The 14,665-nt window shown below is 47.0% G+C and overlaps 1 long non-coding RNA gene across 1 annotated transcript, besides 6 other annotated features; it reads right to left on the reverse strand.

Moving 5' to 3' along the window:
* Window positions 1,506-2,311: an enhancer, noted in NCBI's record as "NANOG-H3K27ac-H3K4me1 hESC enhancer chr2:70350131-70350936 (GRCh37/hg19 assembly coordinates)". NCBI's record gives its function as "activates a minimal SCP1, AML or CMV promoter by ChIP-STARR-seq in naive and primed H9 embryonic stem cells {active_cell/tissue: H9 hESC(naive and primed)}" and the evidence as "EXISTENCE:reporter gene assay evidence [ECO:0000049][PMID:30033119]".
* Window positions 2,312-3,117: an enhancer, noted in NCBI's record as "NANOG-H3K27ac-H3K4me1 hESC enhancer chr2:70350937-70351742 (GRCh37/hg19 assembly coordinates)". NCBI's record gives its function as "activates a minimal SCP1, AML or CMV promoter by ChIP-STARR-seq in naive and primed H9 embryonic stem cells {active_cell/tissue: H9 hESC(naive and primed)}" and the evidence as "EXISTENCE:reporter gene assay evidence [ECO:0000049][PMID:30033119]".
* LINC01816 (long intergenic non-protein coding RNA 1816) lies at window positions 2,543-3,823 on the reverse strand. The gene is made up of 2 exons (NR_024444.1): window positions 3,553-3,823; window positions 2,543-2,932 (listed from the first exon to the last, which is right to left on the reverse strand). It is a non-coding gene; the product is annotated as a long intergenic non-protein coding RNA 1816 (long non-coding RNA).
* Window positions 3,444-3,738: a silencer, noted in NCBI's record as "tiled region #3961; K562 Repressive DNase matched - State 1:Tss". NCBI's record gives its function as "represses a minimal TATA promoter and a strong SV40 promoter by Sharpr-MPRA in K562 cells {active_cell/tissue: K562}" and the evidence as "EXISTENCE:reporter gene assay evidence [ECO:0000049][PMID:27701403]".
* Window positions 12,042-12,351: an enhancer, noted in NCBI's record as "active region_15995". NCBI's record gives its function as "activates an Ori minimal core promoter by ATAC-STARR-seq in GM12878 lymphoblastoid cells {active_cell/tissue: GM12878}" and the evidence as "EXISTENCE:reporter gene assay evidence [ECO:0000049][PMID:35858748]".
* Window positions 14,255-14,314: an enhancer, noted in NCBI's record as "active region_15996". NCBI's record gives its function as "activates an Ori minimal core promoter by ATAC-STARR-seq in GM12878 lymphoblastoid cells {active_cell/tissue: GM12878}" and the evidence as "EXISTENCE:reporter gene assay evidence [ECO:0000049][PMID:35858748]".
* Window positions 14,375-14,424: an enhancer, noted in NCBI's record as "active region_15997". NCBI's record gives its function as "activates an Ori minimal core promoter by ATAC-STARR-seq in GM12878 lymphoblastoid cells {active_cell/tissue: GM12878}" and the evidence as "EXISTENCE:reporter gene assay evidence [ECO:0000049][PMID:35858748]".

A 14,665-nucleotide genomic window follows, 5' to 3' on the forward strand; every position in this document is an offset into this window, starting at 1 on the left:
CATGGCCCCTCTTTTTGGAACTTAGTTCTCTCTTTTTCTTTTCTTTTCTTTTTTTTTTTTTTGAGGCGGTGTCTCGCTCTGTTGCCTTGCCTGGGCTGGAGTGTAGTGGTGTGATCTCAGCTCACTACAACCTCTGCCTCCTGGGTTCAAGCAATTCTCATGCCTCAGCCTCCCAAGTAGCTGGGATTACAGGCACACACCAGCACGCTCGGCTAATTTTTGTATTTTTAAAAGTAGAGACAGGGATTTGCCATGTTGGCCAGGCTGCTCTTGAATTCCTGACCTCAAGTGATCTGCCCCCCTCGGCCTCCCAAAGTGCTGGGATTAGGCGTGAGCCACTGCACCTGGCTAGAGCTTAGTTCTCTAGTGTTGGTAGTTGGAGCCTGCTTTTTTGGAGGAGGTCTTTCCTATAAACCCACTCTGGAAACAGTGTCAAAGCAGGAAGTGAGAGGTTATGTTTGAGGTCCACAGTCCGGCTGGAAGAAGTGGTAGACAGAGGACCTTAGATTGTCAGGCCATTGGGCCACAGAATCAGGGCCTGGATCTGGGACAGTCCTTGGTCTCCCCTGAGGCTCTAGGCTCCTGGTTCACCTGTTCTGAATCCCTGTCTCTTGGGAGGCAGGGAGTGAGCTATTTGTGTAAGACTAAGGCCTTAGAATATGTCCCACGTTCTCTGGCATCAGACACCCCACTCAGGGGCCAAACAGAAAGCTGTGAAGGGTGGTGAGAAAAGTCTCTTCTTACACCTCCTCTCCACCACTATTTAGTACCTTGCTTTTTTAGCTTTCATGTTATATTATGACTGGTTTCCCATGTCATTAAATATTCTTCAGAAATTTAACTTTGATGATAACATATTATTCCCATTACCCATAACTTCATCATCCTCCAACTGTTCAAAAGTTAGATTATTTCTAGCTTTTACTATTACAGTATATTTAACATCACCTGGTAATTGATCTAAAAGGAATAATTAGGAATCAGTCCCCAAATTTGGAGATGGCAACCAAGAAGTCTTTTTCATTTTCCACAGTTTTCCCACATTTTTGTTTTTTTTTTCAAGAGATGCTCTGCAACTCAGGCTGCAGTGCAGTGGGATGATCATAATTCACTGTAACCTCAAATTCCTGGGCTCAGGCTCCCAAATAGCTAGGATTAATGGCGCATGCCACCATGCCAGGCTAATTTTATTTTTGTAGAGACGGGAGTCTTGCTATGTTGCCCAGGCTGGTTTTGAACTCCTGGGCTCAAGTGATCCTCTCGCCTCGACCTCCCTAAGTGCTAAGTGTTGGGTTTATAGAGATGAGCCACCATGCCTTCTTTTCTTTTTTTTTTTTAATTCTGTTTTGCAAAGAATATCCCTCTTGCCAGCATCTGAATAATATCTATCTTTACTATTATTTATGTGTGTAAATAGCTTTACAGTTCACAAAGCATTTTCTTATATAATGTCTCATCTAATCAACACAGCAACACTATGAAATAAGTTACTATTTCCATTTTACATTTGGGGAAATTAAGCTCAGAAAGGCCATGTGACATGTTCAAGATAACACATTTAGTGTCAGAGCTGGGACGTGGACCCGGGTCTTGGGACTCCCGAAACCATATCCTTTACCGTGGGCAAAGTGCTATGCTGAGGTCTTACCACACACATAGATGGCACTGGAAGAAGGGCAAGTATGGAACAGCACCCCAGGCAGAGTGGGCGATGCCACTGGTAAGATACAGAGAAAGTACTACACACAGTGGCGTTGCAAGGACAGAGCAGTTCCTCCCACAAAGGGCATGCAGTAGGCTTTGGGAAGAAACGTGGCCAAGTCGGGTCTTCAAAGGTGAATAGGATCTAGATATTCAGAATAAGAGGGCTTTCCACAGGCTCAGTGAATGGGAAAGGAAAGTGTGGCTGATTGGGGAAAGCGCTAGCACAGGGAGCAAGAGATGGGGCGTGGCTGGGGAGGAATGGAATTGTAATTCTAGCCTCACAAAGGCTAGAGCCAGCAGGGCCTTGGGATCATGTGGGGAGGAAACCAGAGATGTGTGGAACAATTTGCTGAAGGCAGAACCAGGCAGGGAAAGGGCAGGGTCAGGTTCGTACCCTTGCCTCTGGCCACCAGGGCCAATGCTCCTTCCCTGCAGTAAACCCGATTAATCTCCTCAAACTCAGGTGCCATTTCCTTGGAATAGTATTTACCGCGGGGCGCGGTGGCTCACGCCTGTAATCTCACGCTTTGGGAGGCTGAGGTGAGAGGATCCCTTGAGCCTAGGGGTTCGAGACCAGCCTGGGCAACATAGCGAGACCCTGTGGTTAAAAAAAAATTAAAATTAGCCAATAGTGGTGGCACGCGCCTGTAGTACCAGCTTCTTGGGAAGCTGAGGCAGGAGGATCACCTGTGCCCAGAGAGGGCGAGGCTGCAGTGAGCCATCATCGTGCCACTGTACTCCAGCCTGGGCGACAGTTCGAGACCTTTTCTCAAAAAAAGAAAAAAAAAAGTTGTTCAAGTTGTGTAGTGCACGGGAGGAAAGAAGTATGACAATAACATAGGACAGCAGCCGGCTCTTTTTTTCATCAGGATGTGGAGAGTGGGCGCCTTGGGAAGACGAAATTGAGTATGTGCGGGGGAGGGGTCATATGAAACAAGGTCGGGAAGGGGGCGGGGAGAGCTGGGGCTCTGGAGGAGCTTGGGGCTCGCGCTGCGGGGGAGGAAGCGCCTTCCGCGGTCGCTGGGGGGAAGTGGTTAGGAGGAAGCACGGGCAGTGGAGGGGACTGCTGGAGGGTCCCATCTGGGAAAGCAGGCACGGATGCGGGGACATTTCCGCCCGTCACCCTGGCAAAGCGCTCGCAGGGCTGGAGGGACAGAGTTCTCAGATCCAAGTAGAGAAAACCGGGAACGGTTCCGGCTCTGGGGACTGACATTCATCGCGGCAGTTTCTGGTGGCAAAACAGAGGAAACAAAGGAATGATGAAATGAACTGAGCTGCCTTCATGCCCCGGATGAATGTTCAGCCATTAGAAAAGAGTGAATCCCAGCTGGGATTTGGGGTTCCACGGTGTACTAGAAAAGCAAAACAAAGAGAAGCGCCTACTAGATGCCATCTTGGAAAACAAAAGCAAACGTGTGTGTGTGTGTGTGTGTGTGTGTGTGTGATGTTACATGGGCATGGGGAAATTACGGAAGTAAATACTAATGCTTGTGGCCGGGCGCGTGGCTGACGCCTGTAATCCCAGCACTTTGGGAGGCCGAGGCGGACGGATCACGAGGTCAGGAGATCGAGACCACGGTGAAACCCCGTCTCTACTAAAAATACAAAAAGTTAGCCGGGCGTAGTGACGGGCGCCTGTAGTCCCAGCTACACGGGAGGCTAAGGCAGGAGAATGGCGTGAACCCGGGAGGCGGAGCTTGCAGTGAGCCGAGATCGCGCCACTGCACTCCAGCCTGGGTGACAGAGCGAGACGCCGTCTCAAAAAAAAAAAAAAAAATACTAATGCTTGTGTAAATTGGGATGGTGGAAAATGAGGAAGAGGGCGGCAGGGGAATCCTTAGTACTTACAGAGAAAACGGAGCAAGTGTACAAGCACGCCAACCCCCCCGGTGCCCAAGCTCGGCGCTCACGCGGCTAGGATGACGCCCGTGGGACGCCCCAGGGGCCCTGCTCGCAGCCACTCTGCTCAGGGTCATTTATAGTCTCTCCGTTCTTTGTTAAATAAAGACGGTGAGACACGGACGGGCTGGAGCCGGCAGGGGTAGTGGAGGGCAGAGGGGACGGGTCGGGGCGCCCCTCGCTCCTGCCACGCTGCCGCCGCCCCAGACAAAGACAGCTGCGTACGGCGGGAGCGCAGGGGCGCCTGCGCGCAGGGCCTAAATCGCCTGTCCCGTCTCCCCCTGACGCCCACACACCCAAGCGGCAGCCCACTCCCCTTCTACCCCGCAGCCATTTGCTTCCCACCCCTTGATTTTCTTTTTTCTTTTCCCCTCCCCTCAGCATCCCCCCAACCTCCTCTGATACACTTTGGCTAATTGTCTAATGAATTTACCTATTCTAGGTATTTCGTATAAGTGGAATCATATAATATTCGTCCTTCTGTGTCGGCTTATTTTGCTTAGTACAAGGTTTTTTATTTTTTATTTTTTTTTCTTTGAGACACGGTCTCGTTCTGTCGCCCAGGCTGGGGCACAGTGGCGCTCAGCTCACTGCAACCTCCACCTCCGGGTTTCAAGTGATCCTCCCACCTCAGCCTCCCAAATAGCTGGGACTACAGGTGCGCTGCCACCACTGCCTAGCTAATTTTTGTATTTTTGGTAGAGACCAGGTTTCGCCATGTTGCCCACGCTGGTCTCCAGCTCCTTAGCTCAAACGATCCTCCTGCCACAGCCTCCCAAAGTGCTGTAATTACAGGCGTGTGAGCCACCATGCCCGGCCACTTAGCATAATCTTTTCAAGGTTCATCCCTGCTGCAGCACGTATGAGAACTTCATTTCTTTTATTGTATTTGTGGTAATATGTACACAACATAAAGCTTATTTTAATCAATTTTTAAGTGTACAGTTTAGTGGCACTAAATAGTCACGTGGTTGTGCACTCACCACCATCATCCATCTCTAGAACTCTTCCATCATCCTAAACTGAAACTCTGTACCCGTGAAACAACTCCCTCATTCCCCTCTACCCAGCTCCTGGCAACCACCATTCTACTTTCTGTCCCTGTGCACTTGGGAGCATCACCTTTCTGGGACATCTGCAACGGTTCTCTGGAGGATTGTCTCCCCTTTTTTAAAAATTTATTTTCTTTTCTTTCTTTCTTTTTTTTTTTTGGTAGAGAAGGGGTTTCACTTCATTGCCCAGGCTGGTGTCCAACTTCTGGGCTCAAGGAATCTGCCTGCCTTGGCTTCCCAAAGTGTTGGGATTACAAGCATGAGCCACTGTGCCCCGCCTGTGGTCTCATTTTGGAGGGCAAGAGGGATAGAGATAGCCATAACCTGGAGAATATTGAGATGTGGACAACAAGGATGACAAAATTTGGTCCTATGAGAAATCATCTGTGAGGAAGAGTGGAGAGAACTGAGCTTGTTCAAGACAGTGAGGTCCTGGGATGATCTCAATTCATGTAAGAAAACCAGGAAGCAAGGAGGTTTCAGTTTATCAACAGATTTAAAAGGCGCAAGCCTTTTGATATAACTAGAGAAGAGAAGACTCAGGTGATCACACAGACTGTCTTCACCCAAGTGAAGGATGATTATGTAGGAAAGTGGATAGAAGATGCTGTCAACAGAAATGTAAACAGAATCATGTTAACAATTTTTCAGTAGGCACTTTTTTTTTTTTTTTTGAGATGGAGTCTTGCTCTGTTGCCCAGGCTGGTGTGCAGTGGTGCGATCTTGGCTCACTGCAGCCTCCTGGGTTCAAGCGATTCTCCTGCCTCAGCCTTCCGGGTGGCTGGGATTACAGGCATGCCATCATGCCCGGCTAATTTTTGTATTTTTAGTAGAGACAGAGTTTCACCTTGTTGGTCAGGATGGTCTCAAAACTCTTGACCTCAGGTGATCTGCCTGCCTCAGCCTCCCAAAGTGCTGAGATTACAGGCGTAAGCCATCACACCTGGCCAATTTTTAAATTAATAATGAGAGGCTGGGCATGGTGGCACACACCTGTGATTCCAGCTACTCAGAAGGCTGAGGTGGGAGGATCGTTTGAGCCCAGGAAGTTGAGGCTGCAGTGAGCTGTGTTCACACTAGTGCACTCCAGCCTGGGTGACAAAGCAAGACCCTGTTGAAAAAAAAATTTTTTAATAATGAGATATCTGACATTCTTTTTTTTACACTTGGTCTCTGAAATCAGGCTGGCTACATGTGAAGTGCTCTATAGCTACCTGCGGTCACTGTATTGGACAGTGCAGGGTTGGAAACTGGACTTAGGAGTCAGGGCTGGGTTCAAGCCCCACATTCCATCCCTTACTAGGCTGGGTAACTAGGCACATTACTTAGCCTCTCCTATTTCTGTTTCTTCATCTACAAAATGAAACTAAAAATAGTACCTACTTTATAGGGTAATTTTGTGGATTAATGGCACATGAAGCATATGGTGCATGTTCAGTAAATGTTGGCGATTATTAGCAGTAAATTTGGTGGTTATTGAATTAGTGACATTGCAGTATCACTGTTAGGGTGACCTCCATTCCCATCAGATGATGTGGCTTGAAGCTATTCCAAACGGGCAAGGTTAAAAAACAATAGGCAAACTGGGAAAACCTATTTGCAACACACATGAAAACAAAATGTTGTTATTCTTGCTATGTAGGAAGTGCTTGCAAATAAATAAGAAAATGAATACCAATGGAAAATTCAAAAGAAACAAACATCTGAAGTGATTTTTTTTAAAGACCCACTTTAAATAAGTTCAACTCTCCTTGGAATCAGACATAAAAATAAACAAAAGACATTTTTTGTTGTTGTTGAGTAACAGATCAACAGCCAGAATTTGGTGGCACCTAATATTGAAGAAGGTGTGGGGAGATACCTTCTCTTTTTAAATAAAGATTTCCTGAAGTTTCCATTGTTATATCTGACCACAGACTATCCAGAGAAACAAGCTGAGTTCTTGCTTCAAGGAGGAACTAGCCAGAGAGCCTTTTCTACCCACTTTTTCCCTTGTCCAGATAAAGCTAAACAGCCAACAAACCCCTCCTAGCAAGTTGACTTTTTTCTTGTCATGTGTGCAGACTCTGCACATTAGCTTTGCTAATAGTCCTTTACCACAGGTGTTGACATTTCACGTGGCTTGAAATAGCCCCCAGCATTGTTCTACATTTGGACAGGGCTGACATACTTAAGCCACAATACCCCCAGAATATTATTAGGCTTCTGGCTACCTCCTTCAGGAATGTTTTATCTGCCAGCAGGATTGGCTACATAATTTTTGGGGCCCAGGGGAAAATGAAAATATGGGCCCCTTTCTCATAAAAGGATGAAAAAAGCCCTTTCATTTTTTCTACAGTCTCTCTCTCAACCTGTCATGATGTTTTTATTTACTATTTATTGTTGTACTCCCTTGGACATGGAGATACTTCAGAGGTCAGTGCAGGCCCTCACAGATGCCCAGGACCATGCCGCAAGACAGCATGCATTTTCCAGTTTGGGAAAGCTTTTTTTTTTTTTGACACGGAGTCTCACACTGTCACCCAGGCTAGAGTGCAGTGGTGCGATCTCCGCTCACTGCAAGCTCCACCTCCCGGGTTCACACCATTCTCCTGCCTCGGCCTCCCGAGTAGCTGGGACTACAGGTGCCCGCCACCATGCCTGGCTAATTTTTTGTATTTTTAGTAGAGACGGGGTTTCACCATGTTAGCCAGGATGGTCTCGATCTCCTGACCTCGTGATCCACCCGCCTCGGCCTCCCAAATTGTTGAGATTACAGGCGTGAGCCATGGCGCCCGGCCCAGTCTGGGAAAACTTGATGGGGAGTGGGGTGAAGAGACTAATGCTTTTTTTTTTTATTCAAGATGGAGTTTTCACTCTTGTTGCCCAGTGCAATGGCGCAATCTCGGCTCACTGCAACCTCCGCCTCCCAGGTTAAAGTGATTATCCTGCCTCAGCCTCCCATGTAGCTGGGATGACAGCTGCCCACCACCATGCCCAGATAATTTTGTATTTTTTTTTTAGTAGAGACGGGGTTTCACCATGTTGGCCAGGCTGGTCTCGAACTCCTGACCTTAGGTGATCCACCCACCTCGGCCTCCCAAAGTGCTGGGATTACAGGCTTGAGCCACCACACCCACCCTATTTTAACCAATTTTTTTTTTTTTTTTTTTTTTTGAGACGGAGTCTCGCTGTGTGGCCCAGGCTGGAGTGCAGTGGCACAATCTCGTCTCACTGCAAGCTCCACCTCCCGGGTTCACGCCATTCTCCTGCCTCTGCCTCCCAAGTAGCTGGGACTACAGGCGCCCGCCACCATACCCAGCTAATTTTTTTTGTATTTTTAGTAGAGACATGGTTTCACCGTGTTAGCCAAGATGGTCTCGATCTCCTGACCTCATGATCCGCCCGCCTCGGCCTCCCAAAGTGCTGGGATTACAGGCGTGAGCCACCGCGCCCGGCCCCATTTTAACCAATTTTTTAAGTGTAGTTTAGTGGCACTAAATATAGTCACGTGGTTGTGCACTCACCACCATCATCCATCTCTAGAACTCTTCCATCATCCTAAACTGAAACTCTGTACCCATGAAACAACTCCTCCCTCATTCCCCTCTACCCAGCTCCTGGCAACCACCATTCTACTTTCTGTCCCTGTGCACTTGGGAGCATCACCTTTCTGGGACATCTGCAACGGTTCTCTGGAGGATTCTGTCTCCCCTTTTTTAAAAATTTATTTTGTTTTCTTTCTTTTTCTTTTTTTTTGATAGAGAAGGGGTCTCACTTCATTGCCCAGGCTGGTGTCCAACTTCTGGGCTCAAGCAGTCTGCCTGCCTTGGCTTCCCAAAGTGTTGGGATTACAAGCGTGTGGTCTCATTTTGGAGGGCAGGAGGGATAGAGATAGCCATAACCTGGAGAATATTGAGATGTGGACAACAAGGATGACAAAATTTGGTTCTATGAGAAATGATCTGTAAGGAAGAGTGGAGGGAACTGAGCATGTTCAAGACAGTGAGGTCTCGGGATGATCTCAGTTCAGGAGGTTTCAGTATATCAACAGATTTGAAAGGAGCAAGCAGGCTGGGCGTGGTGGCTCACGCCTGTAATCCCAGCACTTTGGGAGGCCGAGGCGGGCGGATCACAAGGTCAAGAGATTGAGACCATCCTGGCTAACATGGTGAAACCCCGTCTCTACTAAAAATACAAAAATCAGCTGGGCATAGTGGTGCGTGCCTGTAGTACCAGCTACTCGGGAGACTGAGGCAGAAGAATTGCTTGAACCTGGGAGGCGGAGGTTGCAGTGAGCCGAGACTGCGCCACTGCACTCCAGCCTGGCAACAGAGCGAGACTCCGTCTGAAAAAAAATAAAAAATAAAAGGCGCAAGCAGTGTGATATAACTGGAGAAGAGAAGACTCAGGCAATCACACGGACTGTCTTCACCCAAGCGAAGGATGATTATGTAGGAAAGTGCATAGAAGATGCTGTCAATAGCAATATAAAGTGAATCATGTTAACAATTTTTCAGTGGCCACATTTTTTTTTTTTTTTTGAGAAGGAGTCTTGCTCTGTTGCCCAGGCTGGAGTGCAGTGGCGTGATCTCGGCTCACTGCAACCTCCAACTCCTGGCAAAACCCTGTCTCTACTAAAAATACAAAAATTAGCCAGTCGTGGTGTTGCACACTTGTAATCCCAGCTACTCGGGAGGCTGAGGCAGGAGAATCACTTGAACCTGGAGGGCGGAGGTTGCAGAGAGCCGAGATTGCATCACTGCACTCCAGCCTGGGTGACAGAGCAAGACTGTCTCAAAAAATAATCAAACACATTTTTTTTTTAGAGTCAGGGTCTTGCTCTTTCACCCAGGCTGGAGTGCAGTAGTGGGCTCAAGAGATCCTCCTGCTTCAGCCTCCCAAGTAGCTGGGATTATAGGCATGTGCCACCATGTCTGGCTAATTTTTTTATTTTTACTTTTGAAGAGGTAGGGTCTTGTTCTGTTGCTCAGTCTGGTCTTGAATTCCTGGTCTCAAGCAGTCCTTCTTGAGACCTTGGCCTCCCAAAGCGTGGGGATTACAGGCATGAGCCAGGGGTCCTGATCAGTATTCTTTTTTTCAAGAATAAATTTGAATATGCTTCATTGCAAGGTATATTGTTTCCACTGAGCACCTAGGATTTCTCAAGTTCTTTGTATATTATATGAGTCTTTCACAGCAATGTTAAGGGACAGGTGAAATAAACATAAAATAATTCCTGGCCGGGTGCAGTGGCTCATGCCTGTAATCCCAACACTTTGGGAGGCCGAGGCGGGTGGATCATCTGAGGTCAGCAGTTCGAGACCAGCCTGACCAACATGGCGAAACCCCGTCTCTAGTAAAAATACAAAATTAGCCGGGCATGGTGGCACATGCCTGTAATCCCAGCCACTTGGGAGACTGAGGCTGGAGAATTGCTTGAACCCAGGAGGCGGGGGTTGCAGTGAGCTGAGATCGCGCCACTGAACTCCATCCTGGGCAACAAGAGCAAAACTCTGTCTCAAACAAACAAACAAACAAAAAATTCCTCTTTACAGAGGAGGCAATTAAGACCCATTGTCAATCACCTAGTAGGCATCGGGACTGGGGTTTGAAAGCACATGTCTCTAAAGTCCATGCTTTTATTTGTAATGCCAAAAGACTGGAAACAATCTAAACACCCCTTGATGGGAACCAGTTAAATTATAGTAGTCCATACAATGTAATACTCTACAGCCGCAAAGATAGATAAAAATGAGGATACTCTCATATACCGATAAGGAAATGTCACCAAGATAGGGTGTTAAAGCGGGGGAAAAACCCAACAAACGTGTAGAACGTGTACAGACTGGCACTAAATATGTTAAAATGGAGTAAGGAAGGGTATAGATTTGTTTTAGCTTGTATGTGTAGAAAAACAACGTTAGAAGGATAAACAAAAACCTTATAACAGGGTTATCTATTTAGGGTGGGGGAAAGTGGGCATTTGGGGGACAGGGACAGAAGAGATGTACATCTTTTCATTTTTTTTAGTTTTAAACATATAAATAAATTATCTGTTCAAAAAAGCAAATGCATATAAACATTTTTTTAAGCAACATGAAATTAAACAAAACTGCTGTCCCTTCCTTCCACTGTACCATGTGCCTTAGACATCTTTGGAGGGCAGTCTGTCCTCTTTTCCAGTGAGTTGCACAGGGCAGCAGGCCTCAGGACACCCTGGCAGCTCTAAGGATGGCTTCAGCACAGCCTGGGGAAGGAAGCCCTGCCAGCAGGCAGCGCCAGGCCAAGTGTACCCTCTTTCCTTATCCCTGACTTAGAAAAACAAAACCGATAGGCAAATCCACTCATCGGCATTTCTGAATCCAGTTGTTAACCAATCCTCTTCCTGCCCTTTACTCTCCTTTTCTTCCTTTTTCCAGAAAATCCTGGAAAGCTCTGCAGCTACTTTGCAAAGTGCTTTACTAGCTCTGGCTGCCTTGTTGTTTTCCTTTTCTCATTTGGCCTGTGTCATCCTCTCAGGCAAGTACTGCAGTCAGACTTCCTGCCAGCTTGCCTGCTGGGTTCATCTGTCTTTAAAACACAAAACAAAACAAAACAAAAAGCCTGTATTTTCATAGAACCTACAAACCTCAAATTCGAAGTTATTTTGTCCAACTCTCCACCCAGAGCAGAAGATCCTAGTTGTAAAATTTAGCAGAGTAAATCCACTTGGTTTTAAAGCCCAATTCTGTGGTTTCACTTTGCCCATCCAATCAACTCGGAGTAACAGCTCTCATAAAATATTTGCTCTTGTGAAGAATCCCACGGGGCAGGTCTATTTGTGTGTGGAGTCTAGTGGTGCAGTCAGCACCAGTAAATTTCCATTCAGTAATTCAGTGACTGTTAATCGACACCTAATATGTATCCATCACTGTCTGAGGCCCTGTGCTAGGGACAGAAACAAACACCGAGACTCAGCCCCTGCCCTCAAATCTCTAACAGCCATGTTAGGATACCTTCAGGTCATCAAGCCAGGTCATTAGTGCCTGGCCTAATTTGTTTTGTTTTTAAAAAGCCATTTGCAAGGTATCAGTTATATCACTGTGTTGTGGACATTTTCATGGTGAGCTATGTGTCGGAAATATGATTTATGGGAATGGCTTTCTTTTCTCTCTTTTTTAAGGTTTTGGGGAAATAGCTTTTATACTGCAAAGATAATGGCCAAAGCTCAAACTCTAGGTAATGTAATCCATATAAGATTAATTAGCCTTTCAGGGTGTTAATTTTGTCATAACAGTGTCATAGCTTTCAGCTTTCATTAGCTAGAATTCCTTGGCTAATGTGCAGGAAATTTGAGATGTCTGCCAGGTGTGTTCGGTGAAAGATTTTACAAAATCAAATGTGAGTCTAAAAGCAAGTCATTTTGAGAGACACTGAGCTTGGCAGAGATTCAGGTGTCTAGAACCATACCATATACTCCCCAGAGAATGCTGGGCCAGAACATGTCTTCCCTTGAGCGTTGTTCAATTCACTGGGCACACGGAGCAGAGGACTCCGTGGAGGCAGCATGCTCACTCCCCATTACACACGCACAGCATCACCAGGAACCATACCTCGACATTCATTCTTTGCTGGCTTATTCTCAAAGGAAAACCCCAACCAGAAGATAATGAACACCACAGACTGTTGGAAGCAGCAAGAAGCTACCACACATTTGTGGCTCCCACACATCCACCCAAAACACACCAGCAGGAAGAAAGAGCAATATATTACTCAGGTTTCCTGTCAGGACATCCTGGCTTGAAACACAGGTCTGTCACTTAAAAATATTAAGATAACCCGCAGATGGGAAACTGCTTCATTATGTCCTTGGGAATCTCAGAAAACTGTCAGCTTATGAAATAGAGCTCAAAAGCAAGTAGAAAATCACCCATTCCCATTGATGACGGGTAGTTTTTCTTCCAGGCAAAGAGGATCACAGGAACATGGGGGCATGAAATGACTGAAGGAATCTGGGCTGGGGAAGGCCCCATGCAGTTTCTGGGCAGACTGGGTCTTGTCTCAGACCAACAACCTTGGTCCAAATTTGTCATAAGGACATGACAAACTCAGTATACAAGCATTACCGCGTAAGTAGTAGGCCCTATTTTGTTGGTGACTGAAGATTGCCTTTGAATTCCCCAGTGCCCATAGGCCCTGCACGCCTCACCATCTGCCATTGAACAGTGTAAGGTGTAAGCAGATCAGCTCAGCAGAACAGTATAAGGCTACACTTTGAACAGTAGCTGTCTCCTTGGGGGAACCCTACAATGAAGGGGAATCCATTAAAAGGAGGGTATAGGCTAGATGTCTGTTCTCCAGGCTTGTCATGGCAAGCTCAGGATCAGAGAGACCACCCATCCATTCATCAATGCATTCATTCACTCATTCAATAGACATCTATAGAGCACTTTTTTTTTTTAGACGGAGTCTCTCGGTTGCCCAGGCTGGAATGCAGTAGTGCGATCTAGGCTCACTGCAACTTCCGCCTCCTGGGTTCAAGCAATTCATCTGCCTCAGCCTCCTGAGCAGCTGGGACTACAGGCATTAGCCACCACGCCTGGCTAATTTTTAAAATATTTTTAGTAGACATGGGGTTTTACCATGTTGGTCAGCCTCGTCTCGAACTCCTAACCTCAAATGATCTGCCTGCCTCGCCTCCCAAAGTGCTGGGATTACAGAAATGAGCCACCACATCCGGATTTTTTTTTTTTTTTTTTTTTTTTTGAGACAGGGTCTTGCTCTGTCACTCAGGCTGGAGTGCAGTGGTGCAATCACGGCTCACTGCAGTCTCAACCTCCTGGGCTCAAGCAATCCTCCCTCCTCAGCCTCCCAAGTAACTGGTACTACTGGCGTGTGCCACCATGCCCAGTTAATTTTTGTATGTTTTGTACAGACAGGGTCTTATGTTACTCAGGCTAGTCTTGAACTCCTAGGCTCAACCAATCCTCCAGCTTTGGCCTTCCAAAGTGTTGGAATAACAGGTACTGTTATTCCGAGTAACTGGTACTACTGGCGTGCGCCACCATGCCCAGCTAATTTTTGTATTTTTTGTAGAGACAAGGTCTTACTATGTTACCCAGGCTATTCTCGAACTCCTAGGCTCAACCAATCCTCCAGCTTTGGCCTTCCAAAGTGCTGGAATAACAGGTGTGGGCCACTGTGCCTGGCCACTGCAAATTCTTGGGAGCCTGCTGTCTCTCTTAGCCAGGTTACAATGGATACTATCTGTTAACACTAGTATTCCTACTATCCCATATTCAATCTTTACTCCTCAATCACAAACTTTTTTTTTTTTTTTTTTTGAGACAGAGTCTCATGCTGTCCCCCAGGCTGGAGAGCAGTGGCGCAGTCTCGGCTCACTGCAAGCTCCGCCTGCCAGGTTCACACCATCCTCCTGCCTCAGCCTCCCGAGCAGCTGGGACTATAGTTGCCCGCCACCACACCCGGCTAATTTTTTTGTATTTTTAGTAGAGATGGGGTTTCACCACGTTAGCCAGGATGGTCTCAGTCTCCTGACCTCGTGATCCACCCACCTCGGCCTCCCAAAGTGCTGGGATTACAGGCGTGAGCCACCGCATCCTGCCCTCAACCACAAACTTTTATTTCCTTCTGCTATTCTATCCCATGATTCTCATAAACCATCAAAATGTCTTCAGAATGCCAATTTTTTGTGTGTTCCGATTTCATCTCTGGCATGATAAACTTTATAGCTCTGAAACTCTTGGTTCAAAAAATAGTGCCGTGGAGAGCTAGGTGGTCACCCTGAGACCACAACTTGCAGTCCCTCCAGGCTCATGCCTGTATCTGTGAACAGGGAATCTCCTGAGGAAATACACGTGGTCTCCACAGATTCCACAGCCACACCCATCTCATGACCTGGATTCCTCCCCTCCCCCCTGCCCAGCCTCCACCCCCTGGGCAGGAAAAGGAGCCGAGAAAGTGAGTCTTCAGCTCCTTCCTCTTCTGCACTTAGATCTATCACATCTCACCACATCAACACTGTTATT

The sequence above is a fragment of the Homo sapiens genome, chromosome 2, assembly GCF_000001405.40.
Source record: "Homo sapiens chromosome 2, GRCh38.p14 Primary Assembly".
Taxonomy (NCBI): Eukaryota; Metazoa; Chordata; class Mammalia; order Primates; family Hominidae; genus Homo; species Homo sapiens.